The sequence below is a fragment of the Homo sapiens genome, chromosome 10, assembly GCF_000001405.40.
Source record: "Homo sapiens chromosome 10, GRCh38.p14 Primary Assembly".
NCBI classification, from domain to species: Eukaryota; Metazoa; Chordata; class Mammalia; order Primates; family Hominidae; genus Homo; species Homo sapiens.
In genome coordinates, this window is record NC_000010.11 from 79,133,982 (window position 1) to 79,161,746 (window position 27,765).

Consider the following 27,765-nt stretch of genomic DNA (forward strand, 5'->3'; position numbering starts at 1 on the left):
GTTCTATGTAAAGATGGATGCTAATTTGCTGGTGATTAGCTGATTATCGGATTTTATAGCTGTCACACAGGATGGCCCTCTCTCCCATTTGTACCCCGGACACCACTTGAGGCCCCTGATCAGATATGGGAGGAAGGGGTCAAGGGAGGCCCACCTGGGGGGTTCGAGGGCCTGTCTGAAGCCCGGGGTCACCAGGAGCACCAGATGCCACTGGGGCTCAGGGCGGGGTAGGGGGAAGGTGCTGCAGTCTGATTGGTGGAGCTGGGAGGAACCTGTGGCTCACTCACCGCTTCTGTATAGATGGAGAAACTGAGGCCCAGAGAGGCCTAGCACTTCCCAGCAAAACAGTGACCAGGGACAGAGTCAGACTGCTATTCTAGACTGGACTCCAGTGCCCATCCCACTGTTGTATGCTGTTGTCAGGAGGAATTTGCAGGGAGGTGGCTTTATCTGCTGCTGGAGAACTATGAGGACCAGACTCCAACTCATGCAGAGGAAAGGAGCACTTAGCCCATGGCCCAAACTGAACCCTCTGTGTACCCTTCTGAAAACCTCCACCTCCTTCTACTTCCCTGGGCAGCCCTGGGCTTTGCCCCACGGCACCCTGACTGCACTTAGCTAGGCTTTCTCCCAACCTGGATTGAGACTTCCCCAGGACTGGCCTTGCACCCTGTGGGCTATCCGGACACATGTGAGGGTGTCAAATTTTAACACTATGTATGTATGTTCATGTAACTAAGGAAAAAAATATAATTAATACATCAAACCCATGATTTCACAGATCATAGTGCTTTTGATGAGGCTAAGTAAAAAAAAAAGTAATTGGTTTAAAGTGATATAAATAATTAAATAGTTTTTTTTTTTGAGATGGAGTTTCGCTCTTGTTGCCCAGGCTGGTGCTATCTTGGCTCACTGCAACCTCTGCCTCCCGGGTTCAAGTGATTCTCCTGTCTCAGCCTCCCGAGTAGCTGGGATTACAGGCATGCGCCACCACACCCAGCTAATTTTGTATTTTTAATAGAGAAGTGGTTTCACCAGGTTGGTCAGGCTGGTCTCGAACTCCTGACCTCAGGTGATCTGCCCGCCTCCGCCTCCAAAGTGCTAGGATTACAGGCATGATCCACTGCACCTGGTTGATACATTTTTAAGTACATAAAGAATTAAGATGGAATATGGACACGGCTTACAGTACCTAATAAGGTGGGTTATTTGATAACTTGAGGAGGGTCTGAGAAGACCAGGTCAGGAGGCCAGGCAGTTGAGGTCAGGGTCAGCAGTGACCTGGGGCAAGGTGGGCCAGGTCTGCAGCCACCACTGCCCCATCCCATGACTGGGCAGATGGTGCCCTCAGATTGTGCCCTTCTCTCCCCAGCCCTGCAGTTGGTCAGAATTAGCCCACAAGAGAGCAGTCATTTGTCCTCCTAAAGGTAGTTTCACTGGGACTCTGTTGGGGGAGGCCAGGAGGTTGGACATTACCCCATTTCCCACCAAGCCACCAGTTGCGAGTGTGTCACTTCACATGGACATGCGGTGCACCTGTTTCCCCTGGCATTGATAGGTGAGACACTGACTGGCCCCTGTTCTCTTTCTTCCTGGCCAATCTGAAAATGCCCAGTTCTCGAGTTAAAGGGATAACAGCTTTGACAAGGCCAGGTGTTGTCTGGGTGGCCAGAGAGCTAAGGGTCAGGGTCAGCGTGGCCCATTGGCCCATTGGAGATCCCCAAGGCTTTGGGGTCCAAGGGCCAGGGTTCCAGGCCTGGCTGCTGCTTCCCAAAGCGTCAGTCTCCTCCTCTATAAGATGGGGACAGTTGTGCTGAAAGGGTTCTGAGGGTCATGTGCAAAGTGTCCCTCAAAGGAAGACTCAGTACAGCCGGCAGTGAGCCCAGTTCCAGGGGCCCTCTCGGCCACCCACCCACCCGCCGCCGCTGTGTCTGTGCCGCCAGAGATCTCCCTCTCATCAGCCCCTTTATCGCCCTGTACACAATCAGGGGAAGCTGGGAAGGCCGCTGGGGCTGAGGGCAGATGGAAAACAAAGAGAGAAAACAAAGGCACTGCTCCTAGGGGGCCAAAAGGCACCTGCCTCCTCCCCCAGGCCTGGCCTTGGCCACCCCAGTCCTCCAGGATCTGCCCCACCCCTCCAGAAGGATAGTCTCAGAACTCATGTAGGTCACCACTCTCAGGGGACCCTCAGGAAGTCACTCGTCTCCAGGCCACCTTTTCTTATCTGTAAAATGAGAGAATTGGACAACAGGCCATGTGACTTTTGGCAAACCTTCCCCCTCTCCCCACCCTCCAGGGTCTCCTTGGGGCAGGCCCAGCTCGTCTCTAGGACCCCCCAGCCTGTCCCAGGAAGTCAAGATGGTGCCCACTTCTGTCTGTGGCAAGGACCCCAGCCCTGCCTTGGGCAGGGTGAGGTAAACAGGAGGCCCCTGTTTCCTGCCGAGATCTTGGGGTGTGCTGGGTGCTCAGTGCATCTGTGTGGAATGAATGAATTATTTCATCAGAAGGGGGCCTACTCAGAGTCAGCCCTAGGTTGCTGCTGCTGTTGAAGCCTCTCAGGGAAGGAGACCCTTCTGGTCACTTGAGGGAGGTGGAGAGAAGTGGTGAAGGGCTGGCAATGGCATCCCTGCCAGGCTGTCTGGGTTCACATCTTGGTTGTGTGACCTTGGACTGGTTTCTTAACCTTCTGTTTCCTCATCTTTAAAAATTGGTTATAGTACTGACCTCATAGGTTGTGGTAAGATTAAGTGGATTAATTTACATAAAGTGCTTAGAACAGTACAGCTAAAGGTTAAATATCACTATCCATTTCATCACTCTTATTATGATTAGAGGGAGGCTTACAGGGAAGCACATGAAGATTAGGCATCCTGGCCTCTCCTGGGCACAGCCCTGGTGAAGGCTGGGAATTGCTGGGAGCTATAGAGTGTTCTAGGTGGGAGGGGCAGCAGTTTGCAAACAGGAACATTTCTATGTAAGTATTTCTGGTAAACTGTTAAACAGGGGCCTCATGAGAAAGGGGCATGGATTCCTAAGAATATAGGAATTTGTTGTGATTTCTTTTCTGATTCTAAATATATATTTGTAATGTTAAATAATTTTTAAAACAGGGCCTCCAAAATTGTATAAGCCTCAGGCCCTGCAACCTGAGCTGTTCCTGATTGTTTCTGTTATTGTGATTGTATTTCTGTGGCCCAGCCCTGTGCTGCCCACTTTGGTGGTCCTGACAGGATGGCCCAGCCTTGGGGTCCCAGGGACCTGTCTTCTCACCCTATGGACAGCGGTGTTATGTGCAGGCTGGCCTCTGAGCTGTAGTCTACACTTCACACCCCAGATGGAGGGAGCTCTGAGGGAGCAGACAAAGGAAAATGGGTACCTCAGGGAAGGTCTCTGAAGGAGTCTTCTCTGCATATGCAGGACACAGAGCCCTGTGCCCAGAGGCTTAGTGGCCAGCCCTGCTGCTCCTACTCACCCGGACTAGGTGTGGCAGGCCAGGCCCCTCTCCCTTCCCACTCCCCCTCGGTATGTGCCCTGGTGGACAGGCAGGGGCGGGTGGGGCCGTGGGAAGCAGGCTGCTGAGTTGGAACAGTCACCCCTACAGTGGTCGTTGAGTGGCTGGCTGTGCACCAAGCTTCAGGTTCCTGCCGGGTGCAGACCCAGAATGGTCCTTGCCCTCTGGGAGCTCTCCCGGTAACTGGGACCACAAGATTTGCACCTGGAAGGGCTAGGGGTGAGCAGGGGAAGGCTGTACTAGACCCATCTCTCTCCGAGAGGAGGCAGGAGAGCCCAGAGGTCGTGAGGGCTGGACCCTGGGGGAGGACCTCTGAGAGGACGGGCCCTCGGCTGGGGGGGGGGTGCTCCTAGGGTGGGCGCTGTGGGCCCTGGCGCCTCTGCCAGCAGCAGGGCCTCTCGGCCCGGGCTCTGACAGGGACATTTATAACTCACAGCTGTGCGGTCCTGGGCCCAACTGACTGTGGTAAACCGATCTGGCTTCAGGAAGTCCCGTCCCGAGGCCACTCCCCATCCCGACCCCCACACTCTCCTTCACCTCCTGACACCCACATCCTGTTCTCAGCGGGAGGGGCAGGCGGCGGGCACTGGGCCAGGGGCCCAGCCAGGGTCTCCAACCTGTGGGCAGAGTGGGAAAGGACAGAGAGCAGCAGTGAGGCCCCAGTGCTGCGGGGTGCCCACCATTGCCAGCCTCCTCTCAAAGCACACACAGGGAGGCAGAGGCCCAGAGGCAGTGCAAGGCCCCCAGGAGCCCACAGGGTCAGAGCGCCAAGAGCATAGGTTGTAGGGCTCAGGGGAATGTTCTGCGCCTCCAGATCTACCTAGAAAGGGGATTCGCCTTCTGGCCTCTGTGGACCCACTCCAGCCAAAAGGAGCCTGACCGGAGGGGCAGAGTGAACCAGAGGCCTCAGAGAATGCTGGGAAAGACGCCATTTTGGGCCCTGGGCCTTGGGCTGGCCCTCCTTTGGGACACCCCGTCCCCAAGATGCTTCGTGCCCATCCCACCTAGATCCTCCCAGCCTAGTTCAAGTGTGGGGCCAAAAATGGTCTTGCCCAGTGCTAGAAAGAGAGACAGTACTAAAGGCTGCAGCACACCATGGCTCTGACCCCTTACATCCCTTGGCCTGATACAATGACCAGTTCTTGGGCCCCATCAGCCAGCCCGCCCCTCCTCCATGCCTCTCCCTCTTCTTCTGCACAACGTTTGCCAAAGCTTGGCCCAGGTAAATCTGGTAGTCTACAGCAAGATTCTAGAATTAGATAGTACCCAACAGGACATACATTTTTGTTTTACTAGTTACAATTTATTAAAGAGTATCAGAAATATATAACTAGCCTATCAAATCAATTATTTCAAGGGCATGATTGCTTTGGACAAGGCCAGATTTATTGGAGCTTAAAAAAAAAGTGAGTGGAAGGTGAACATTAAATTAAGTCATCACACAGGTAGATCTCAGCTCAGACCAAGAATCCTAAAGAGCGTGGAGGAAGAGCTGAAGTTTGGGGAGCACAATCTAACTCATCACCAGGACTCTTTTCTGCTTTAAACTCTGCATCTGGGCCTCCTCTCCCAGTTATAAGCAAAACAGCCAGCCCTGAACCTTGTAGGAGGGGCAAGGGAGTGAGCTGGTTTTCCCGAGGTGCGTACACACATAAAATGGCTCCGAGTGTTGGTCAGGGATCTGGTGAGCAATTCATAATGAGGAAAGAATTCAGGCAGGGGTCACAGAGTGGCTTTGGAAGTGGCTGCCGGCCGGCCGTGTGAGATAATTCCCCGAAGCCAGGCACGGCGCAGAGAGGAGGCCACGGCAAGGGCTTTGTACACCCGGCTAAAAATACCCCCGACAGCTTCTCCCTGTCACCCTGCCTGGGGGCCGTACAGGAAAGTGATGCTGTTCTGCTTTTCCTACTAAGAAGAGAAAGACAACACAAAGTCCCCAGTCCTGGAAGAAACAAAACTTATATTTATATATTTTTCAAAATCCCACTAGGAGGAATTGGCTTGCTGGTTGGAGTGTGGCTGGGCGGGGAAGACACAGCCAGCTCTGATAAATCAGGCATCCCGGGGTGTGCTTAAGTGACCCAAGAGGCCGCTGAGATTAGCTTGGCGGCAGGGACAGAGGTGGGAGGGGAGTGGACGGCACACCGGCCTGCTCTCACACACGTCTCATCTCTCCCCTGTGTACCCAGGAGGAAGAGGAGGAGGCCCGTTGGCGTCGGACCAATGCTGCAAGGGGTGTGAGGAGAGGAGCCGCTGTTTTTCACTGAGCTGCCATACCCCGAAAGGTAACACCAGCCCCCGATGCCCAGGCCATACCATCACCTTTGCCTAAGCCTGGGCAGGGGCAAGCCCTAGCAGCCCAGAAGTGCTGTGGCTGGACCAGAGCTGAGGGTTTTCAGCTGCTTCTCACAGCCTTTCCTGGGCCTGGCTGCAGGGCCTCTCTATAACTCCTTGTGTGGTGCTCATACTGCCAGAAAAGGCTTCTGGGTGTCAGTTTGTCTGTCTCCAAAATGGGGCACTGGGCTCAGGTCCTGTACTTACCTCAGTTCTCAAGGATTCTGTGAGTCAGTTGTGTCTGATTTGGTTGAGCCATCTTAGCAGCCTGGCTCAGTTGGAACTCTAGGGCTGTAGCCAGGGGTCCCAGCCTTTGTGGATGCTGGATTCTAAGGCTACGAGGTCCACAGTGCCATGTGGGGCTTGAGAAGGGAGGATTTTCCAAAGCAGACCTGGCTGGAGATGTGCTTCACTGGGGATGTGGCTGTGGTCTCCTTTGTGGCAGCATTCAAAATTCCAAAGTTCTCCCTGTCAGCTCTGGGCAAGAATTATTATCTGCATTTTCAGACCACGAGAACAAGGCACAGGGAAGTTAATGGTGCCTGCCAGGGATCACACAGCTAGCTCTGGCCACGCCACAGCAGCTTGGCTTCATCCTATTTGCCATACCAGCTTCTATGCTTTTACTTCGACCGTACTGCACTCATCCTCTCAAGAGAAGTTCTGCTTTTGAGGCCAAGCAACCACTAGTCTGTATTGTGTGCCTGTGAGACCCATCCCTCCATCCATCCATCATCCATCCACTTACCTGTCCATCTCTCCATCCATCCCTCTTTCTTTTAGTCCTTCCACACTCATCCACCCATTCATCCCTCCACCACCTATCCGTCCTTCCATCCAACTACTTACCCACCCATTCCCCCCATCCACCCATCTATTTACTCTTTAATTCACTCATCAAATATTCATGGACTCTCACACCAGGCCAGGCCCGCATTAAGGGCTGGGGTTTTTGTTTTTGTTTTTGTTTTTTTGAGGCAGGGTCTCATTCTGTCACCCAGGTTGGAGTGCAGTGACACGAACATGATTCACTGCAGCCTCGACCTCCCAGGCTGAAGCGATTCTCCCACCTCAGCCTCCCGTGTAGCTGGGACTACAGGCATGCACCGCCACGCCCAGCTGATTTTTAAATTTTTGTGGAGACGGGGTCTCACTTCGTTGTCCGGGGGTGGGTTTTGAAGACAGAGCCAATTTAGCCCTGCCCTGAGAGGGTGTGGTGTGCAATGGAGTACGACTCAGATCCCAGAGCCAGACTGAGTTCCATAAGGCAGTGCTCAAAGCCTGTGTGGTGACCATGACGACACAGGGGACGAGGGAGAGGGGACGTGGCTGATTCTGCAGGCAGACATTCGGGGAGGAGGAGGCGGCATTGCTCATGCATTCATTCCCCAGGTGTTGACCGAGAAAGTCTGTCAGGAACTCTTTAAGTTCAGAGATATAGCAGGGAATAAAGCAGACAAAACTCCCTGCCCTTACGGCGCTTGTACTCTCGTGAGGAGGCATGGATGATAAATACCTAAAAAGTGAATAGGTCAGGTGACGCTAAGTTTTAAGAAGACAAATTTAGCCAGGTAGGAGCACAGAGTCTACAGTGTAAAGTACTCTTTCACTAGCCAAGGAAAGCTTTTTTTTTTGAGACAGGGTCTCACTCTGTCACTGTAACCTCGACCTCCCCAGCTGAAGTGATTCTCCCACCTCAGCCCCCTGAGTAGCTGGGACTACAGGCACACACCATCATGCCTGGCTAATTAGTGTACTTTTAGTAGAGATGGGGTTTTCCCATGTTGCCCAGGCTGGTCTCGAACTCCTGGACTTAAGTGATCCACCTGCCTCAGCCTCCCAAAGTTCTGGGATTACAGGTGTGAGCCACTCTGCCTGACCCAAGAAAGGCTTCTGTTAAGTTGGCCATTTAAGATAGCTGAATGCAGCCAGGGAGTCTGCAGGGATGTACTTGACCTGTTCAAAGAAATGCAAATAATCCAGTGTGGCTGGGAGGATGTCAGGATAGGGGGCGAAGTCAGAGAGATCATGGAGGACCCACTCCTGTAGGCGGACAAGTGTGGAGCAGAGAGATAGCTGGGAAGCTGTTGCCCACATCCAGGTAGAGGTGATGGGAACAGGGACGAAGGGGTAGTGGAGGAAGAGGTGGGAAGCCATCAAAGGCTGAATATATTTCAGAGACCCAGCAGGCAGGCTCGCTAGTGAATTAGAGGTGGAGGATTTAAAAAGACGGAGACAGTCAGGGAAGGCCCTTGGGTTTGGGACAGGAGCCAGTGGTAGAAGGGAGGTGGTTATTTGCTCAGCCAGGGACAATGGCCGGGGAGGGCTGCGTGAAGCTGAGGAGTTCTGTTTCAGACACATTGAGTTTGAGATGCCTTTGAGACGTTCAAGTGGAAAGATTGAGGGGGCAGCTGGAAATATGAGTCGGGAAGGCAGAGAGAGGTCCCAGACTAGAGATATAAATTTGGGAGTTGTCGTGGATTGATGGTGTTGCAAGTCGTGAGGCAGATGAGATCACTCGAGAGTGTGTGGCGCTTGAGAGGGTCAGGAGCCTGAATGTGAGTCACGGGGCACCCAGCCGTTTAGGGGAGTGAGTGGATAAGGGGTCTGCAGAGGAGCTGGAGAAGGTGCAGCCAGGGAGGGGAACAGAAAGCAGGCTCTGAGTGGACAAGCAAGACTCTGCTGGGCAGTGCATGGAAAGGACTCTGTATGCTGCAGTGGGAACAGCCTACACAAAGGCTCAGAGGCCTCAATAAACCAGCCATATTTGGAGAGGACTAATGGAGAGACAGGAGAGACCACACCGCCTTCCTGCCCACACTTGGCCACACAGGGGCTAGGGGCTGTGGGCAAGCGCATGCCTGGGCCCTCCCCGTCACCCTGGCCGGCACTCCCTGACCCTGGCCAAGCATCTTGCCCTGATGTCTGTCCACTTTCCCACTTTCTTCAGCTAGCACTATGGACCTCCCTCCTGCTTTCTGGGGCTCCTCCCCCTTGTCCAAAAACGCAGGGCTCCAGGTGGCAGGTCACATGCTGCCCATGGGGAAGAGGCACCGAGCAGCTCCCTATTGAGCACCTGAGCATGGTGTGGATCCTTTATCCTAAAAGATGTGAACCTTCCCAGGCCGCGAGTGAGTGTCAGAGCACCTGCTCCCAGTTAGGGGAGCTCTCTGCCTTTGGTGGGCAATCATATACGTGCGTGTCAGTGTTGTGTCACTTCATTCTTTCTCCATCTCTGTCTCTCTCTTTCTCAGCCTCTACTGCAAACATCAGCAGTGCCCCCTCCAGGCCAGGCCCCGGGCTGGGTAGGATCCCGAGGAACAAGTGTGCTCCTGACCTTCCAGGAGCTCCCCACCGCTCCATCTCTCCCTTGGCTCCTGAGTGTACCTTTTTGGTGCTCAGGAGCCTGAGCCTGACTTAGAATTCCAGCTTTGCCACCCACCAGTAGTATGTCTTGGGGTGCTGCAGCTGCCCTGTACTGCAGTTCACAGGAGAGGGCTCCCCGAGACTCTGGAAACAGACCCAGGAGCTTCTGAGCTATCCCTCTGCTCTGGCTGAGGTTTGACCCCGGGCCCACTCACCCCTCTCTCCACAGCAGAGTTGTGGGTCTTGTCAGATGCTCTTCCCCTTCAGCGTGCAGCTCTAGTCCCACCTTCTCCAGAAAGCCTCCCTTGACCACTCTGAGGTCAACCAGTGTTTCCTAAGCACCTGTGTTGTGCCAAATGCAGGGCTCGAGTCAGGGTGTGCAGAGATGACAGTGGAGGGTTTCTGCGCTGAGAACTGGCAGTCCAGATGGGGTGGTGGGGGGACAGGTAAAGAACCCACACCTTCCAGCATAACAGTGAGCACTGCAGGTGCCCAGCAGAGAGAACGGCCTTGACTTGGTCAGGAACGGCTGCACACAGTATAGCTGCCCTGAACAAGGCCAGAGGCCGGGCAGGTGTGCAAGGTGTGATAGGGGCTGGGGGGTGGGGGTGGAGAGAAGAGTGTGTCCAGGCGAAGGAGACTCGGGAGCACAGTCCAGCCCGTCTGCAGAGTGAGTGCGGTCTGACATGGCCAGGACGTGAGAGGAGGCTCAGGAGACTTTTCCAGGCTGAGAATTGAATGGAGCCAGGCAGGGACTTGTGGACCTCCTCTCCCTCGGGAAAGTCAGGGGGAGATGCCCCTCCAACTCTGCATCGGGGACTAGGGCAGCAGCAGCAGCTGCTCTGATGATGCATGGCTCCGTGGCAGAGCGGTGGCAGGAGGCTTCGGGTAATCTCATTAGTGTGCCCGGCGGAGGGGACGAGTAATCCCGTGCCTTTAGACTCACTTTTCTTTAAGCCTGTCCCTATCCATTCTCTCCCTAAATCCTTGTACTGCTTTGGTGACATCAGGCGGGACTGGACTGGACTTACCTCCATTGAACTGATGGGTAAAACAGGGTTAGAGAGGAAAATTCTTGCATGATGCCATAGCTCACAAGGGGCAGGAACTGCATCCGTCTGACTCCAGAACCCATGCTCTTATAATCCTCTACTATCTCCCAGACTGTCTTAGACTATCCAGGCTTATAGACTGCCTCCCCACTGGCCCCATTTTGCAGGTGAGGAAACCGAGGCCCAGAGAAGGTAAGACACTTGCCTAGGGCCACGCAGCAAGTCAAGGACAGCACTGGCACCAGAAGCTCACCTGGCCTGTTTGTGTCCCCACCCCACCCCACAAGCAGGCACAGGGATCCCCCTGGTCCCTGCCCATTTCTGCCTGGAGCACCCACTGTGCTTGGTCTTCCTGCAGTCTTTGGCACCGGCTCCGGTGGAAGGCACCAAGTTCCTCATCAGAAGGCTCCATTGTGCCTATTGTTTAAATATAGATTACTAATGAAATGCCTTTTCATTGCCTTCCCAGTGAATAGTTTCCGTGTAAAGTTAATTTGCAGTGTTATGTAAATTCTGTTTAACTTCAATCAAGTTTCTAATTATGTTTTTACCGCAGTAATTCCCATTTGATTTGTCATCTCCTGTTAGGTATTCAATGTTCGGTGGGCGGGCTTGCTTTCCGTCTGCCTCTCAGTTTTCCAAGGCCCTGACCTCCTCTCTGCTGTGTGTCTGTCTCCGTGGCTCCTGGCTTCTTCATCCACTTCGGCTTCTTGGTGGCTCATTTCCCACCTCCTCGCCATCCCTCCATCTATCTCCTGCCCTCCACCTTCCTTCTTTCTTCCTCTTGCCCAGCTGCACCTTCTTCCCCTTCTGTTTTCTTCTTCTCTGTCTCCCCTCCTCCCTCCTTCCTGCCCTCTTTCCCCCTCCCCCTCTGTCTGTGTCTTCCTTCTCTGTATCTTCTTTCTGTATCTTCCTTTCTTCTCTCTATTCCGCTCATGGCCTTGCCTCTCACTCTTCCTCCCTTTCTGTGTCTTTCTCCACTGACAAGACTCTCTCCTGCCTCCTCTGCTCACATTTCCATCCCAGTGCTCCTCCTCTCCTGAGGTCTTCTCTCCCTCCTCCTCCACAGTAGAGCCTTTCCCGAAGCTGCATTCCGGAGTGCCTGCGAGGTGTGCTGGGCTGGGGGCTGGGGCCACCAGAGGAGCCCTGTGCAGCCCTGAGTTGTTGGGGTGGGGGATTGGTGAAGAACACAGAGTCTAGGGTTGGGGTCTCCGGGTTCAAATCCCACCCCACCCCTTGTTAACTGTGTGACCTTCCGGTTAGTTCACATTGATTTCTGTGCTGCATCCATAAAATGGGGTGATAATTTTACCTGCCTCCACAGTAAAGCCCTTCCCGAGGCTTCATTCTGCAGCCCTGAGACAGTGGGGTGGGGGATTGGTGAAGAACACAGAGTCATGGAGTTATTGTGAGAAGTCAGTGAGATAACCTATGTGAAGGGCTTTAGCGGAGGGAGGGGCTTGGCCAGAATTAGCCTTTTTACTTTCTTAAGAGACAAGGTCTTGCTTTGTCACCCAGGGTGGAGTGCAGTGGCTCACTGCAGCCTTGACCTCCCAGGCTCAACTGACCCTCCCACCTCAGCCTTCTGAATACCTGGGACTATAGATGCATTCCAGCATGCCTGGCTAATTTTTAAAATTTTTATTAGAGACAAGGTCTCACTATGTTGCCCAGGCTGGTCTCAAACTCCTGGGCTCAAGCAGTCCTCCCATCCCAGCCTCTCAATGTGCTGGGATTATAGATGTGAGCTGCCACACCCAGCCCAGGAATTAGCTTTTATTTGGGAACTCTTGGCCATGCCTTTCATTTTTTGCGGCCTTCCTGAGATGCATCTGCAGTGAGTTTCTGGAGTCCTGGGGGTCAGGCCTGAGGCCAGGGAAGGGTGGGAGCTGGCTGCAGACCCCCATAGAGCTGGCATTTCCCGCTCCCCACTCTCCACCCCTCAGCCTTCCTCCCCTAGAGCAGGGTCTCCGCTCTGCCTGTCAAGAGATGTGGCGTCCTTCTGTCTTAGTGGGCCCATCTCAGGCTGTGAGGACAAGCCTGCCACCCTGGGGTAGTAGCGGAGACACAGATCCCCAATGCTGGAAAAGTGCTCAAGACTCTGGCCCGCAGACCTTTCCCAAGCAACAGACCAAAGGCAGAGCCGCTCCTGCTGAGTTGGACTAGACACCCCCTTCTTCTACCCTCCCTCACCCCCTAGATGCCCCAAAGGCTATAATATACCATGGACTCCAGCTACAAAACCACTGGTCCAGGTGCAGCATGTTGGCAGCTCTGCCATTTATCACAGGGACTTCTCTCTGAGCCTTGGCTCCCCTCCTGTGTGGCCCCAACGTTGGGCTTTGGGATTCTCCCTGAGTTTGGGGATTGTCCCTGTAGTCAGGGAACGGCTGGGTGGCCACAGTTTCCCAGCAGACATCTGCCCTCTGGGTGGGGAGGGCGGAAGGAAAACACCAGACACAGGCAGGGCTGGGGCTGGGCGGGTGCTCTGCCCCCTCCCTCTGCTCCCGCTTCCGCCCCGACTCTGCTGGGCTTCCCACCCAGCAAACCCCTGGCACATCCAGGAAGCAGAAAACAAGTGCTTGGGGAGGGCATTCTTCTGGGTGAAGAAGGGCAGCCGGTCACTTGTCCTTCAGAGACACAGAAGCCTGGGCCACATGACTACCTGACCCACAAGTGGCTGTGCGTGTGTGTAGTGTACGTGTGTGTGTGTGTGTGTGTGTGTGTGTATATCCCTGTCCCTGGCCAAGGAAACCTTAGCCATCACGTGGCTGGTTTCTCTCGCTATTTGTCCAAGTAAGCAGTTCAGGCCAGCTGCAGCCAGGAGGCCGTGACACAGAGCCAGGGAGAAGGGCCACATTGGTGTGGGTGGTGGCAGCGAGGATCGCCATGGGCATCAGGGAGCCCCGAGCTGGGTCCTAGAGCTCTTGGGCCTCAGAATCTGGTATGGGGAGGCCTGGGCTGGGGAATGGCCTTGTTCTGATCCTCTGCCCTCCCTGGACGACTGACCTCCCTGCCCCAACCCATCTGTCAAGAAAAGGCACAGAGCTTGATAACAGAGAACTCTCTCAGCCCTAAATAGAGAGGGTGGGCACCTTCTGACCAGGGGGAGCCGAGAAAGACAGAGTCCTCACCAGAGAAAGGGACACACATGGGCACAACCACCATGTGTATGGCCCCTGGAGTGTGCTTTAGAGCCCTGGCCTCCGTGGCAGGAGTGTGGAAGCCAGGCCTCCCGTGTGCATCCATCAGGCCACTGAATTATTAGCACCTACTGTGTGCCAGGACCTGGGCTAGGCAGGGATAGGGGTTGTCAGAACACAGACCTTCTGGAAACTTCGTCAAACCCTCGCCTCTGTGACATATTTTCTTCCCATTGGATGGGCAGCATCACCTTTCATTGCAAAACCCCTGTGATCTTGTCATGAGCTGGCCATTTCCCACCCCACTGCCATTCCAGGAGGATGCAACCCCTACATTGTTGCAGGGCTCAGGAAGAGCAGTGAGAGGCACCGCCGAGCCTCTCATGGACCAAGCAGGTGTTTCTAGCCAGGGAGAGTGTCCCCTTCCTCTAGGGAGGTGTGAGCCAGACCCTGGGCTTCCAAAGCAAATGTGTGCATGTGGGCAGAACACAGAGGCCCTGGGCTCGGACACCTGGGGGCCTTCTCCTAGCCCACATGGGGAGCAGAGCACCAGGGGAAGTGGCAGCTGCAGAGTGGGGCCTCCCCAGGCCTTCATCGAGGTTTGTCAGCCTGCATACTGTGTCTTGCATAGATGACACCATCTCTGGGGGCCTGGAGGAGGAGGGCTGTGGTGGCTTTTTGGGGCCATGCTTCTGAGAGCCCACCTGCATTCATGTGTCTGTTTGTCCACCTCCTCCCTGCTTCTTCCCTCTTTCCTTCCTTTGACAAACATTTCCTGGCAGCCAAGTCTGTATGGGGCCCACGCTCCACAAAAGATACATCCCTCACCCTGCATGATCACGGCCGAACTGGAATCCAGCAACATTCCAGGGTGGGCCCAGGGCCAGGCCCAGGTAAGGCCTAGGAGAGAGCTGGCTCTTGGCTAGGAGGCAGGGCATGGCTGACCCCACAGGCTCCCCTGGGTTCTGAGGAAGCTTAGGCGTACTTCCCCAGGATAGGCCAACGGCAGAGCCCACCAGGTGCCTGAGACAAGGGGGTGTAGAGAGCCAGCATCAAGGCCACACAGAGCATCATCAGACCTTGTCTCTGTTGTGATGAGGTCTAGGGTATTCAATCTGGAAGAGTCCCACAGGCTCGTGTGCTCAGGCTGTTCTAGGAAACGCCTGTCCGGAAAAGGGGTGGAGCTGGGTGGCCAGGGCTGAGGGTGACGCAGATCCGCCATCATGCCACCTACAACTGAATGTGGATTCTGGGCCGGGGTTTTTAATAAAGCTGCTGGGTCAGCATCCCAGAATGCTGCCTAGGCCTGTATGTCCCCAGCCTCAGCTTGCATATCTCTGGGGTCACGAGGCTTACTACTGCCGTCTTGTAGTTCCTCCTGGGACATGGGGTCCTGGCCTCCCACCAGGCTGACGCTGACTTCTGTCTTCCACCCTGCTTGTCTTAGGGCCACAGACTTTAGGCCCTTGGCAGTTTCCAATTGAGTCCCTCCCGGGCTTTCCTCCCTGCAGGCAGAGCATCAAGCTGGGTCTGTACGTGGCCCCGCCAGGGCCTGTTTGATTGGGGTAATCTGGACAAGTCATCAGTGGCCTGCGCTGGCAGCCAGGGTGTGGCTAAAGTCAGTTCCTGCCTAAGCTGGGCTGACCCACCTTCTCACCACTCAGGAGCTCCCGGAGCCAGGAGGGACTGCTGTGAGTTTGCCTTCATGAGGAGGCCCTTGGGCTGCCTTTGGTACAGGCAGGAGACCTGGATCCCTGCTCTGTCCCTATCTCTGTCCCTGTCCCTGGGGTAATCTCGAGCAAGGCTGGGCCCCAGGCAGGCCCACACCCCCTCCCATCTGTGTTCATCCCCAGCACTAAGCCAAGAGGCTTTTGTCCCTGGTGGGCTGTCGGCCAGCTGGAAGAGTCCTCCTTGCTCTCTGGCCTATTTGCTTTCTGAGTCCCTCTGCCCTGGGAGAGCATGAATGGGCAGGAGAGGGGACTGGAGAGGGCTGAGGGCCTCTGTTCAGATCTCTGCCCTCACTGGGTCGGGCTGCCAACCTCTGCACTCCCACCATACCCCCAACCTGTGGACAGGTGAGCCTCCAGTTCCTGAGGCCACAGGGAATGGGCTGGATTCACCTGGAGGCCATGGGTAGCCTTGCAGCCCCTGGGCCAAGCTCCCCTCCCACCCAGACTCCTCCAGACACTTCAGGGGTTCAGGCATGCCAAGTCAGGGTGGGGTGAAGGGGTCTTTCTCTAGGCGCTGTGCCTGTGGTTGACATCACGTTGTCCTCATGTGGGGCTGCGTGGCCCCGTGGGGTGGCACGCCTTCTGCAAGAGCTCGCCCTCCAGGAAGTTCTGCATTCGAAGCCTGAACTTGGCCTTGGTTCACTCTTCCTCTCATCCTGGTCTCTTGGGCATGACTTCTCCCAGGGGACACTGCTGTCTGCTGACTTGGAAAGGCAGGGATTCAATCAGGGGCCCCCGCTCAGCTGTGTCTGAAGTGTGCCCTCCTGGGAAGAAAACCCAGCAGCACTTTTGTCGAGGCCTCACACTGGAAAATGAACGGTGGGAGGCCTAGAGGTAAGAGGCCAAAGGCCACTAAGCAGGCCAGCGTGGCCTGCCCACTCCAGCCCCCAGAAAGCATTGGTGCTTCTGAGGAGGCTTGCTCGGCCCTCCCTCTCCCCTGGGCTGGGTGGGGCCAGTGGGACAGGAAGCCAGGGCGGGGCTGGAGGATGGGGCTCAGGGTGGCCTGGGCCTGAGCCAGGGATGAGGCGAAACCCAACCCTGGCCTGGCCCCGGGCCGCAGCCGTGCAGGTCACTAGGCCTCGGCGAGTGGCCACCCGCCCACCCAACAGGAAGCCCTGCCCAGACACCACCTTTGCCCCACCCCGTATTCTCTACGGCTGGCACTTCTCCTATTTCCCATGAGAGCTGCTGCCAGGAATCCTGCCCTCTTGAGAAAGGAAGCCCGACCTCGGGCCGCCCTGCCTCTGGCCTGCGCTGACCCCCTCCCTGGGCCTCCCCGTGGTGGCAGCTCTGGGCCCACGCCCGTCCTGCACCCCCCACACATGCTAATGACTTATCTCCTCTCAGACAAAGCCTGTGACCCTTGGGGACCTAGCAGGAGAAACCTCACAGTGGGACTAGGCCTGGGAGCCAGGAGGCTGGGGCTCTTGGTCTGGGATCCTCCACCAACCTGCTGGTGCACCTGGGCAAGTCACTCAGCCACTCTGGGTCTCATCTGTAGAAAAACAGGGAGAGGCAGACGCTCTGCCCAGCAATGAGCATCCCATGGGATAAAGGGTTTGGGGTGGGTTGAATGTGTGCCCTGTGAAGACAGCCAGGCTTGGGGGGTGATAACACAAAACCTCCCCATCCACCCCTGTCTGCCTGGAAAGGAGCCCCTTCTCTCATCTCCCAGAAGCCGGGCGACGGAGCATGCCTCCGTCTCTCAGCTCTGCTCAGGGAGCTGGGCCAGAAGCAGGGATGGGGCTGTGCTGAGGGGCAGGCTGTCCCACCACCCTCCCAACCCCATCCTCTTCCTCCCTCCTGGTGGGTGCTCTCTGACCCATGACCCACCTCCCCAAGTAAGCCCAAGCCCACCTCAGTATCAGCAGGGGTAGCAGCTTAGGGAATCAACTGTGTCTTAAAGGGGGCCAAGCAGAGGGGTCAGGGCACCACGGGGAAAGACCAGAGTCGTTGTGACATTGGATGGGTTAAGACAGATCCGGGGGCCACCTTGAGCTCCTGGGCGAGCTGAAAGCTTGTCAGCAGCAGGGAAGACCAGGCACCTGAGCAGCCAAGCCCCTGCCATGGGGTGGCCACAGCTCAGACTCTGGTGGCCTTGGACACATTGCTGCTCTGAGCCTCAGTGTCTGCATCTGGCAAGTGGACCTTTCAGAGCCAGTGTCTTAGGGTGCTGTGAGAAGTCCTTAAGATTTGGGGACACAGTGCTGGGCCCCCTGCGGCCCTTCCCTTTGAATCAGCCTTTTCCCTGTGAGGGAAACATTACAGGTCAGGATTAGGACTAGATTTCGTAGGCAGTGGGGAGCCACTGAAAGTTCTTAGAGGAGTAGTGAGTTCATGGGGAGAGGAACCGGCAGCAGAGAAGCCTGGCACACTCATCCGGTGTTGGAGCCCTGATTCAAGAGGGGTCATGGGGCAAAGAAAGTTAGCCCAAGTGGGTGTCAGCACCAGCTGGGCTTGGGAGGCCTCAGTTTTCCTCCTGTAGCTGGGTGCCTGTCCGCAAGGCTGGAGAGGCGCTGCTCAGAGCCAGCACTGAGGGTGGCACCACCACCCCTCCTTCTTCCTCTGGTGCCCCTGAGTCCCACCGGCGTGGGGTTGTCTGGGTTTGCCACTCAGGCCCGGGTGGGCCCCACTGCCTCTCCCTCCCTCCATGGCTTTCTAGCTCTGAATGGGAGTGGACTCTGGAGGCTGCAGTGGGCTGCGGGATGTGAGCCAGGGTGGGGGCATTGGCGGTGGGTGGAGTCACGGGCTGGGTGGCCATGAGTCAGGAATTGCTGGGCCTGTGTGTCATCTGGCTGCGTGCTGTGCTGGCTCCTCCCGCCTGTCTGCCTCATCTCGCCCGCCGCCATCTGGGCCCCCTGGGCTGCTCCACCAGGTGATGGTGCTCTGCTCTGTTTATAAGAGTTCAAAACGTAGGATGGAGTAGTCAGGGGACCGGGCTCTAGGGCCCAGGCTCCCCCAACACCAGAGGTGACCTTGGGCAGGTCCCCTTCCTCTTCTCTGAGCCAATTTCCCCCATTGAAGAGTGGATATTAGGCTGGCCAAGGGATTTCAGCCATGGCCCCAGATGAGATCCGAGGCAGCTTTGAAAGATAGCCCAGCCCAGTACAGTGGCTCACACCTGTAATCCCAGCACTTTGGGAGGCTGAGGCAAGAGGAGCACTTGAGCTCAGGAGTTTGAGACCAGCCTGGGCAACATGGCAAAACCCTGTCTCTACAAAAAATATAAAAAATTAGCTGGGTGTGGTGGTGGGCGCTTGCAGTCCCAGCTACTTGGAGGGTTGAGGTGGGAGGATCGCTTGAGCCCAGGAGGTCGAAGCTACAGTGATCAGAGATTACACCACTGCACTCCAGCCTGAGTTACAAAGTGAGACTCTGTCTCAAAAAAAGAAAAGAAAGAAAAAAGATAACCCACCCCAAACAAGTTAAATCAGATCTCCGGGGCGGGGCCTGCGGCCAGGCTTGAAAGCTCTAGTCTGGATGGCCTCAGACGGGCTGCTTTCTCCGCCCTGCCCGGATCCCCAGGCAGCACTGTGGGCTGGTGCATGGGTTCTGGAGCCCAGAGGCTGTGCTGAGTACAGCTCTACCACTTTCTAATACTGGGCAAGTGAATTCATGCCTCTGAGCCTCTGTTTCCTCATCTGTGAGATGGGGCTAACACCACCCACCTTATAGAATCTGTACCAGTGTCAGCCACCATGTTCTTTGATCTAAGCCAGTTATGCACCACTGCTGCCTTCACTGCCCATTCATTCTTCCAGAAAATATTCGGGGATTCCTGGACCTGCCAGCCTGGTACTGGGTGCTGTGGCAACAGGAAGAGGAAACCCACCATGGGGGTCCAGCCTTTTAGGCCTTTCCAGGGCCCCAGAGGATGGGTTCTGTCTGTTGATGGGCAGGTGAAGGGTGACTCCCCTGAGAATCTCACCGTGTCGCTGGACTGAGGGAACCCCTCTTTCTGAAAGAACGAATGAGACCCCAGATTCAAGGGAGAAGAAGGGGCATCCTAGGACTTCCCTGACAGCCTCAGCTGGGAAGCCCCTGGGGAGGCTCTGAATGCCTTCTGGGGTGGGCCCTGGGCCATGCTCTGGGCAGATGCTGGCTCAAACAGGGCTGGCAGTAGACAGAACAGAATAAGGACCCTCCTCCTTGTAGTCCATCACTGGGCTGGACTATGTCCTCCATCCCGTGGTCCTCCTGGCAGCCCAGGGCATTGGCAGGCATCGTTCCTCCTGCTTGGCAGATAGAGAGACAGAGATGTCAAGGGATGGGAGGCACTTGCCTAGGTCAAGGGCTGGATTTGAACCTCACTTCTGTATAAACAAAATCCCAGTGGGGAAAGTCGAGCTTCCCTGGGAATCTGCCCTGGTGGGACTAAAACGTGATCGGCAAACCTGTCATCCCCTTTCTTCCCTGGCCTTCCAGCAGGTCCCCTGCAGACCACCACTGGCTGTCCTTGCGGGAGAGACCTGATGTTCCTGTAAATAGCAAGTGCTCCTGTTGCCTGGGCTCTGAAAGCCAGAGGTTGAACCATGCACTTGTCACCCACTAAACCTTCTCCCTCCTCATGACCCATTGGAGAAACTGAGGCAGAGAGAGGTGCAGGGACTTGGCTAAGGCCATGTGGCTTGTGAGCCGGCCAGGATTTCATCCAGGCCTGGGTGAGGTTAGAGCCTGTGCCCAGACCCGCCACCACCCGCTAGCAAGAACAGGACTTTCCTTTGTCCGGCATTTTTAACTCTGGGTCTTGGCCATCACTTCAGACTGGCCTGGCCCACGTGTGGCCAGAATCCCAAAGGGATGCCTGTTTGGGAAGCGTGACCGCCAGGGGGCTGGCACCTGGCCCAGGAAGGGGGTCATCGAGAACACTCAGTGCTCAGTGGTTTGTGTGTGCCACCGACAGTGCCTGTGCCCTTCAGTGCCACGACCTTCCTGTGCCAATCATGGGTATGATGTCAGTTCATCTAATCCTTGAGCTGCAGTTAGCCCCAGATGAGGAAACAGACTGGAGGGATAAGTGACTTTCTTGTGGGCCAATATTGGACCCCCTGGGTCCTCAGTTGGACCTCCAACACCAGAATGGACCTGGGTTCCATTCTGGTCCACAAACCCCCTTTGGGTTTGTGTCCCCTTCTCTGTAGGGTGGCAGGCTTGCACTCAGAGCTTCCCAAGGACCTCCAAGGACTCTGCTGAGAGCCTCTGCCAGGCCCATTTAATGCTGCAGGGCATTTAGGATTGGGGGCCTCCCAGAGGTGGGATGGGGTGCCCTCTAGGGCAGCCCTCAGAAGCATAGGGCCAGGTGGTTGGCACCAAGCAGAGTGGGCAGAGGCAAGAGGCAAAACTTCTAAGAGAGGCCACCAGCAGGAAATTCCACTTAGAACCCTGGCATTGCAAGTGGCAAGGGCCCAGGTGGGTGCCGGGGGACCTGGTCTGGCCACCCCCAGCTAGGCGCCCCTTTAAGCAAGACCTCGGTCCCTGGAAAAGGGATGGCTGTGCCCACCCTATGGGGCCTGATGAGTGGTGGGTGTGGAAGGGAGTACCTGGCACGGATTTTGCACCTGGAGGATGCTTGACACCTTAGGCTGCTTCTGTGGAAGAGGAGGTGAGGACCCTGTCCTGGGAGCAGGTGGTTCTACGAAGCCCAGCTGTGGGGGTCTATGAAGCCTCTCCTGAGTTGGTCTCGGACTCATCTTCCCAGAGCCATGGGTCTTTCTCTATCTCTGTGATACGGGGTTCAGTGCCCCCATCCCAGCAGGACCCCAAGTCTACACTGGGCAGCAACCCTGAGCCAGTGATAATAATGACTTATGGCCCCTGTTTACGGAGCATTTCCTGTGCACGTGCATATGGGCCTAATCTTGTTATGTCCTTCAACAACTCTGTGAGAGTAGTGACTCTTAGTATCCCCCATTTTACAGATGAGGAAACTGACCCAAGTTCCTAGCCCAGTATCACGCAGCTAAGTAAGTGTCAGAGCTGAGGCCTCTCTGATGCATCGGAACCTAGATGCATTGGAACCCAGAGAGGCCACCATTCTATGCTGTGCCCTCATCCCTTGATTAAAGCAGAAATTGTTCATTTGGTGACTTGGGGAGAAGGGAGCCCCATCCCTCTTCCTCAGGTTTGAGCGGGCCACCTGTCAGAGTTCAAGGCCTCTTTGATTGCTTGGAGGTGTTGGCTGGGGCAGTCGGGACAGCTTTCCCCCTCCCTTTCCCAGTTCCAGGTCTGATGCAAACTCAAAGGAAAGGGAAGCCAGTCCCTGACTGGGCCTGAGTCATTTGTTTCTGAATCCTAGTTTGAATCCTAGTTCCCGTTTTTATCATGGTGTGATCTTGGCTGGGCCCTTCCCTCTCTCTGGTCTCAGTTTGTCTCTGTTCAAGTCCAGCACCAAGGGACTAGGTTGGCAGGGGCCGGAGGCCAGACAAGCCACGCATGTGCACCACCAGCCAGGGCACGGCTGAGGCAGGACGGGCAGAAGTCATTCCTGGGGCCTGGGCGATGCTGCATGAGCTCTTCCTCCAAGAGGAAGTGTCCCTCCAGCTTGGCCCTGAGAGCACAGTAGATCAGGACTGGACAGGGAGCAAGGCCTTGGAGAGGCCCCCAGGGATGTGTGCATGTGCCTCTGCCCCACGAATGCAGCTGCGCCCTGCTCACTGATGCCCTCTGCAGCTCTCTCTTCAGCCCAAAGCTCTTCTCCCTAAAAGCCTCTGGGCCTTTGCCCAGGGAGAGGTACCCTCCTGCCTGAAAGACTGCCCGAGGGACGGTGGCTCTGCCCCCCATTTTGCTTCCAGGCCGAGCTGGGCTGGCCCGCCAGCACTCTGTGCACATGCCCCTAGTTATCTGAGGATTACCCATCTCCTGTGTCTTCCCCACTGGTGTCACACAGTGTGTGAGCACCCTGGGGAAGCACAAAGGCTGGGCAAGTGCTGACCTTTGGCCCCGTCCCCACCCCTCCCACCCCTACTCTTTACCTCTTCTCCTTCTTTTCCTTCTCTGCCAGATAGCAGGCATTGTCATCAGTTGTTTTTAAATAAAGAAATGAATGAATGAAATGAACAACTTCTAGAAGTCACTTTATAGCCCCATTTTTGAAATGAGGAAACCAAGTCGCAGGGATGTTAGGTGGGTGGGGAGGGTAGTTCAGAGACCCCCCCGCTGCTCTTCCCCAGTTCTCACTCTTTGGGTCCCCACGGTGCCAGGTTGGGGACCCTAGGTTTGCGTGGCATGTCCTCTGGCCACAGGAACTTCCCACACATGGAGGCGTCCTGAGGGCCCAGCAGCAGGTACCAGCCACGACTTCCCACGATCTCAGCTTGCCAGGCCTGCACTTTTCTCACCTGGTGTTCCTGCCTTCCCAGCAGGTCAGCCCAGAGCTGCCTGTCCGCCCTTCCCTGGCCACTTTCGAGCCTTCCCCATGGGAGAGAGAAAGGTGAGGGAGCCGAGGGGCATGTGGCAAGGAGCGGAAAGCAGGCCCAGCAGGCAGGCTGGGCTTCCAGGGCTGGGCTTCGGAAGACAGTGCCTACTGTCTGCTGGAGGGCATCCTGGAGCCTCCTCACAGGAGGTAAAGATCGACAGGATGATTGAACCAAGCGTACCTCGGGACTCTTGGGCAGCCCCGCCCAGGACTTCCCGCAGACCCCAAACTACCAGCTTCCTAGGTCCTCATTCATTTCTGTTCCTTGAGGCCAACTGTAGTTACTGCTCTTCGGTGAAAAGATTGAGAGGATATGCAGTTCTCCCAGAGCACCAAGTCCCTGGGTTCAGCTCTGCTGTGCCTGGAATGAGGACTACCAGGTCCCTGTCCTTATGGGCCTCGAGGCTGAAGAGATAAACAGGCACCTAATTTTAATTATGCAAGCGAAAAGAAACACCAGCATGTCTGGAAGTTCAGGGAGGGTACCTTGGAGGTGGCTCTCAGAGAAGGCAGCATGGAGGAGGTGGCTCTTTGAGCATTGAAGGATGGATAGGGTTCCAAAGGACAGTGACGAGACGTAGAGCTGCACAAGGCGCCATGTAGGGGACTGCGGCTCCTGTTCTGCCACTGTGTGATGTGTGGCCTTTGCTCTCTGCTGAGCGATTTCTTCCTCTGTAAAGTGGGACCTTACAGCTCCCTGGTGACAGGATTGTGCTGAGGATGGAGTGATGGAGTGGGGCAGTGAGAGCTACCAGGGTTATTGAGGAAGGAGCCTGGCAGGTGGGAGAATCTACCACGTTTGAGCAGGTTGAATGGTTCTCTCTGCAGGCATAAGGGGTGTGTGTGTGTGTGTGTGTGTGTGTGTGTGTGTGGTCAGTTGGCAGCAAGTGTGAACAGCTGAGGCCTAATGACAGGAGCTCTGAGGTGGCATTGGTGCCACAGAACCCTGGGGCAGTGTGACCCTCTCCCCTTGTTGTCCATGGGGAGGTCCTTGCTCCGGCCAATGTCCAGCTCAATGTCCAGAGCACCCTGGAGCCTCCTCTGGTGGGTGCATGGCTGGAGGGGTGATTTAGGGCTGCTTCATCCTTCTGGCCCGTGGGCCTTGGCCTGCACCCTGGCCCAGGCTGGGTCTGGCTCTTCCCTGTGTCTGGATCCCCACCCCCAGCTTGGTGAGGTCAGGGAACAGGTATTTCAGGAATGCAGGAGGCGGGGCAGCCAGCCCCATTTGGATAACCATGGGGTAAATATTTGCCTTGCTCCTGGAGCCAGCACTGGCCCGCCAGGGGAGGACAGGGGCCTGTCCCTGGGGTCATGTAAGGGGATGTGTGTGGCGGTGGGGTTCTCCAAGTTGGGGAATCCCCTGTCACCCCAAGAGTCTGCCTGTTGCCTGACCAGCAGCTGTTTGGCACATCTGTAAAATGACAGTAGAACAGCTCAGGCGCCTGAGGATCAGTGTAGCGGGAGCTGGTTCCGCCAGCTTGGCCAGGGGAGCGGCGGGTTGGACCAGATGTGGGTGGACACCCTTGTGACCACCGTTCTGATCCCCACTTGGCCACTTATAACCTTGAGCAATTACCCTGATTTGGATGGGCACCATGGGCTGAGCTTTTAACTCCTTGGTGTCTGCATCTGCACACCCCGTATCTTGTTAAGGCCTCACAGCTATCAGGGCCAAGGCACGTGTGTGGTCAGCAGCAAGCATGAAGAGCTGAGGCCTGGTGATGGAAGCCCTGAACTCCAGGTTGAGGGTGCCCTGGTGTAACCCCTGCCCAGCACAGCACCCAGGGCCATCTGCCCCCTCCCCCAGTGCAACCTGGAGCCTTCTCTGGTGAGAGCCAATGGAGGGCGGTCGGCCCCTGCTTAGAGAGGAGCTGGGGGCTTAGAGAAGCCTAGTGACTTGCTCAAGGTCACCCAGCAAGTGTTCAAACCCAATTCTACCCACTCTTGCCCTAACCCTTGAGGCCAGGGCCAGGGCTTCAGCCCCAAGTGTGGACTCCCAAGCCTTAGCAGCTGTAGAGAGCAACTGGCTACTTAGCCGCAGCCCTGGAGCCACCCCTGGTCCTAAATTTCGGGCACCACTGCCCTCCAGGCATCCTGGATTGACTGATCCTGCATCTCTCTGGGTCAGACTCAGCCCCGGGTCAACATGACCGAGTGCCTCCACCCCAGCCCACACCCAGGTCCTCCCAGGGATCCCTGGAGGTGGGGCTGGGAAGGTAGATATGATGGGGGGAACCCCTCTTAGTCCCAGGACAGTCCCTACCCCCAAGTGACATCTGCCTTGTCTGAGACTCAGCCTTGTCACTTTCCAGCTGGACACCTCTGGCAGCCCCATCCTTCTCAGTGTCATGTTCTGCAAAGCAGGAGTGAGTCCTGGCCTCCCCTCCCCCGGGAGCTTCAGATGCACTGTGAGAGTGAGGGGTGTTTCAGGCTGCTGTCGGCACGCTGCCCTTTCTGGCCTCGCAGTGAGAAGCTGCCGTGTGGTCAGGGTCTCACACACCCCAGAAGTGAGAGTGCTGTGCTGAGGGTGCCTGGGAGAGCTATCTGAGCATTGGGGTCCCTGCCTCATGGGGAGATTGGGTGGGCTTCCACTGGCCTTGAGGCTCAGGCTGCACTCACTCCGTGGCACCAAGGCCTTTCCACAAAAGAGCGCTCCCCTCCAGCCCCTCGTGGTTTATCCTTGCGGTCTGACCAGGCTGGGAGCAAACGGGGCTACACCTCGTCTCCTGCCCTCTCTTCTCCCTGAACTCCCCAGGAGGCCAAGCCCACACAGGCTGTGGGCCTCGGCTAAGGCACCAGCAGAGCTGTGGTGGGTGTGCACAGCATGGCACAGGCTCCTGGTTCCTGAGCCCCCCTTTCGCAGCATGAGGGGTGCCCGGCGCCGTCTGGCCCTGAGCAGGGCTGCTGAGCAGCTCCCAGGGCTGGGCAGGGTTCAGGCTCTCCGGCTGGTTGCCGCATAGCGGGCAGACTGTGAGTGGGGATGGGCTGCTTACTCACATCCCGGCTGTGTTCCTGTGGGCTGCTTATTAGCTGTGCGACCTCAGGAGGTTATAGAACCTCTTGGCCTCGTGTGGAAATCAGGGATGTCAGTGTCCACCTCACAGCGTTTCACTGAGTGCTAAAGGAAATATCCAGGGCACAATCCACAATATGGACTCAATACAGAGTGCCCTCCTACTCCTTCTCTCTTTCCTAGCAGGGTGGTCCAATGCAGGCTCACTGTCCCCCAACCAGAGCCTGAGTTCAAATTCTAGCACCCCCACTTATGGCTGGGTGACCCTAGCTGGGTCCCTTCCCCTCTCTGATCTCAGTTTGCCCCTTTGCACAAGCCCAACACCAAGGGGCTGGGGTGGCTGGGGCAGTGAGGTACGTGTGTGCACCATAAGCCGAGCACCCCTGAGACGCTGATGGCCCGACGCCGTTTCTCCGGGCCTGGCCGATGCTCACTGGGGAGCGAGGGCTTTTCGGCTCTGGCTTCCGTCTCAGCTGCCAAGATAATTATTTTCTCTCTGTCAGCGGCTCTGCTGGCCAGCTTGCCTTTGGGAAAGGCCTAGCTGTGGGCGGTGGGGAGGCAGGAGGCCGACTCCAGTTCTGCCCCAGTCACTGACTCACTGCATGACCCCAGATGAGGGCAAACGCTGCCTGTCTCTGGGCCTCAGTTTCCTCCTCAGTGAAAGGGAAGTATTGGGGTCAGTGAACCCCAAAACTGTTTGTATTTCCAAGGTAAGCAGAATTTGGGGGCTGCCAGAGCCAGAAGGTTAGGATGTAGAGCCACTTCCTCTCCCCATGGCTGGGGTGGGGACACTGGGCCTGGTCCCAGGATCTTGGGGTGTAGGGTTCCAGCACTCATGGAGCCCAGCACCAGCCCCCACGGGGTCATCCATGCATCAGCTGACGTGTGTGGAGAGCCACTGGTGTCTGGCCCTCGCATGCAGTGCATTACACAGTCTGCACAGCTCTTTGAGGGAGGCCTTCTCTTTATTTCTATATCCCCTACAACAGTTGAGGAAACTGAGGCAGAGGGAGGCTTAAGAAACGTGTCCAAGTCACACACTTGGTACGAGGGCGAAGCCAAGATTTGAAGCAGATCCTTGTGATTACTGAGCCTGCCTCTCAATCACCAGGCCTCTTTGCCTCTTATCGAGGCCCTGGGCACCATTTCTCCCTGGGAGCCCCTGCCTGTGCACAGTGAGGTGGAGCCCAGGCTGAGGCCCTTACCGAGCCCCTTGGCGTGTATGGAGGCCTATGCTTCACGTGATGTGGGCACCACCTCTCCCGCTGTGAGCCACGATCTTTGTTCTGAGAGGAGCTCAGCCCTGCAGTCAGGTTTCCTGGTTTTTAGAGGTGGGCACTCCGGTGCAGAGAGGCACAGTGACTGTTCACGGCCTTGCATCGGGGCACCTTCACAGCCATAGCTTGAATTCAGGGTTCTGCACATCCCAGCCTCCAGCTGAGACCCCAGAGAAGCCCACCAGCCAGGCCTCTGGGTGTCATCCTCCCTCCTGCCCTCAGGGCTCTGTGGGCAGTAGGGGGCGTGTTGGTGGGCCGTTGAGGAGATGGGCCAGCTGAGCCCCACCCAACAAGGATGGTTGTGTGCCCACACTCCCAGTGCACCCGCAGGCCCTGCACTTCTGCCTGCTGCCATCTCTGCCCCGAGCACCACTGTCTCTGGTCTGGACCCTGGAGCAGCGTCCCCACTGCTCTTCTGCCTCCTCCTATTCCTCCAAGCCCTTCTCCCTTCACAGCCATGGGGGCTTCCTAAACTAGAACTAGGGTCACATCCCTCAGCTGCCCAGATGCTGCTGTGGCTCCTGCCCACCCTCTTTCTTACTGTCCCTGGCCCCTGGTCTCCACTCACGGCACCCCTCCCTTGCTCAGTGCATCTGCTACACCACAGACCCCAAGTCCTCCACTGGGCCAGGCACTTTTCTCTATCTTGGAGTCTTCACATATGCTGTTCCCTCTGCCTGGAATGCTGTTTGCTGCATCTTGGTCTGCCTCTCCCTGGCTTGTTGCTCAACTTCACTTCTCCAGAGAGGCCACCTGGGACCTTGAGTCTCTGCTGTGTGGCTCCTGGACTCATTGTTTGTTTCTGGCAAGCACTGCTTTTACTTTTGTATCATTTGATTCTTTGCTCTCGTCTGAGTCTCCGCAAGGGTAGGGATCACTATCACATCAGCATGCTTGCTGAATGTTTGTTGAATGAATGAGTGAA

At 56.3% G+C, this 27,765-nt stretch overlaps 1 protein-coding gene across 11 annotated transcripts in view, besides 12 other annotated features; it reads left to right on the top strand.

The window, feature by feature from the left end:
• ZMIZ1 (zinc finger MIZ-type containing 1) overlaps positions 1 to 27,765 on the top strand; it is a 247,554-nt gene that overhangs the window by 65,016 nt on the left and 154,773 nt on the right. For all 11 annotated transcript variants that reach the window (XM_047425538.1, XM_047425539.1, XM_005269988.4 and 8 more), the window contains one exon: positions 5,701 to 5,796. The gene's annotated coding sequence lies outside the window, so the exon portion shown is untranslated. The remainder of the gene's footprint in view (positions 1 to 5,700; positions 5,797 to 27,765) is intronic.
• Positions 3,266 to 3,946: an enhancer, noted in NCBI's record as "H3K4me1 hESC enhancer chr10:80897004-80897684 (GRCh37/hg19 assembly coordinates)". NCBI's record gives its function as "activates a minimal SCP1, AML or CMV promoter by ChIP-STARR-seq in naive and primed H9 embryonic stem cells {active_cell/tissue: H9 hESC(naive and primed)}" and the evidence as "EXISTENCE:reporter gene assay evidence [ECO:0000049][PMID:30033119]".
• Positions 3,266 to 4,151: a biological region, named in NCBI's record as "H3K4me1 hESC enhancer GRCh37_chr10:80897004-80897684". NCBI's record gives its function as "regulatory_interactions: PPIF".
• Positions 3,651 to 4,151: a transcriptional cis regulatory region, noted in NCBI's record as "chr10:80897389-80897889 region (GRCh37/hg19 assembly coordinates) targeted for CRISPR interference". NCBI's record gives its function as "negatively regulates PPIF gene expression in LPS-stimulated THP-1 monocytic cells {active_cell/tissue: THP-1(+LPS for 4hr)}" and the evidence as "EXISTENCE:mutant phenotype evidence [ECO:0000015][PMID:33828297]".
• Positions 3,737 to 3,896: a silencer, noted in NCBI's record as "silent region_2530". NCBI's record gives its function as "represses an Ori minimal core promoter by ATAC-STARR-seq in GM12878 lymphoblastoid cells {active_cell/tissue: GM12878}" and the evidence as "EXISTENCE:reporter gene assay evidence [ECO:0000049][PMID:35858748]".
• Positions 10,937 to 11,875: an enhancer, noted in NCBI's record as "H3K4me1 hESC enhancer chr10:80904675-80905613 (GRCh37/hg19 assembly coordinates)". NCBI's record gives its function as "activates a minimal SCP1, AML or CMV promoter by ChIP-STARR-seq in naive H9 embryonic stem cells {active_cell/tissue: H9 hESC(naive)}" and the evidence as "EXISTENCE:reporter gene assay evidence [ECO:0000049][PMID:30033119]".
• Positions 12,842 to 12,931: an enhancer, noted in NCBI's record as "active region_3627". NCBI's record gives its function as "activates an Ori minimal core promoter by ATAC-STARR-seq in GM12878 lymphoblastoid cells {active_cell/tissue: GM12878}" and the evidence as "EXISTENCE:reporter gene assay evidence [ECO:0000049][PMID:35858748]".
• Positions 16,022 to 16,081: a silencer, noted in NCBI's record as "silent region_2531". NCBI's record gives its function as "represses an Ori minimal core promoter by ATAC-STARR-seq in GM12878 lymphoblastoid cells {active_cell/tissue: GM12878}" and the evidence as "EXISTENCE:reporter gene assay evidence [ECO:0000049][PMID:35858748]".
• Positions 16,142 to 16,221: a silencer, noted in NCBI's record as "silent region_2532". NCBI's record gives its function as "represses an Ori minimal core promoter by ATAC-STARR-seq in GM12878 lymphoblastoid cells {active_cell/tissue: GM12878}" and the evidence as "EXISTENCE:reporter gene assay evidence [ECO:0000049][PMID:35858748]".
• Positions 22,231 to 23,082: an enhancer, noted in NCBI's record as "NANOG-H3K27ac-H3K4me1 hESC enhancer chr10:80915969-80916820 (GRCh37/hg19 assembly coordinates)". NCBI's record gives its function as "activates a minimal SCP1, AML or CMV promoter by ChIP-STARR-seq in naive H9 embryonic stem cells {active_cell/tissue: H9 hESC(naive)}" and the evidence as "EXISTENCE:reporter gene assay evidence [ECO:0000049][PMID:30033119]".
• Positions 23,725 to 23,869: an enhancer, noted in NCBI's record as "145 bp enhancer 4 fragment used in the MPRA reporter construct; PK_construct_165". NCBI's record gives its function as "activates an SV40 promoter by MPRA in HepG2 cells {active_cell/tissue: HepG2}" and the evidence as "EXISTENCE:reporter gene assay evidence [ECO:0000049][PMID:23512712]".
• Positions 23,790 to 23,803: a transcriptional cis regulatory region, noted in NCBI's record as "HNF1 motif; enhancer activity is reduced when this motif is scrambled". NCBI's record gives its function as "necessary for full MPRA enhancer 4 activity {active_cell/tissue: HepG2}" and the evidence as "EXISTENCE:site-directed mutagenesis evidence [ECO:0005528][PMID:23512712]".
• Positions 24,785 to 25,634: an enhancer, noted in NCBI's record as "H3K27ac-H3K4me1 hESC enhancer chr10:80918523-80919372 (GRCh37/hg19 assembly coordinates)". NCBI's record gives its function as "activates a minimal SCP1, AML or CMV promoter by ChIP-STARR-seq in naive and primed H9 embryonic stem cells {active_cell/tissue: H9 hESC(naive and primed)}" and the evidence as "EXISTENCE:reporter gene assay evidence [ECO:0000049][PMID:30033119]".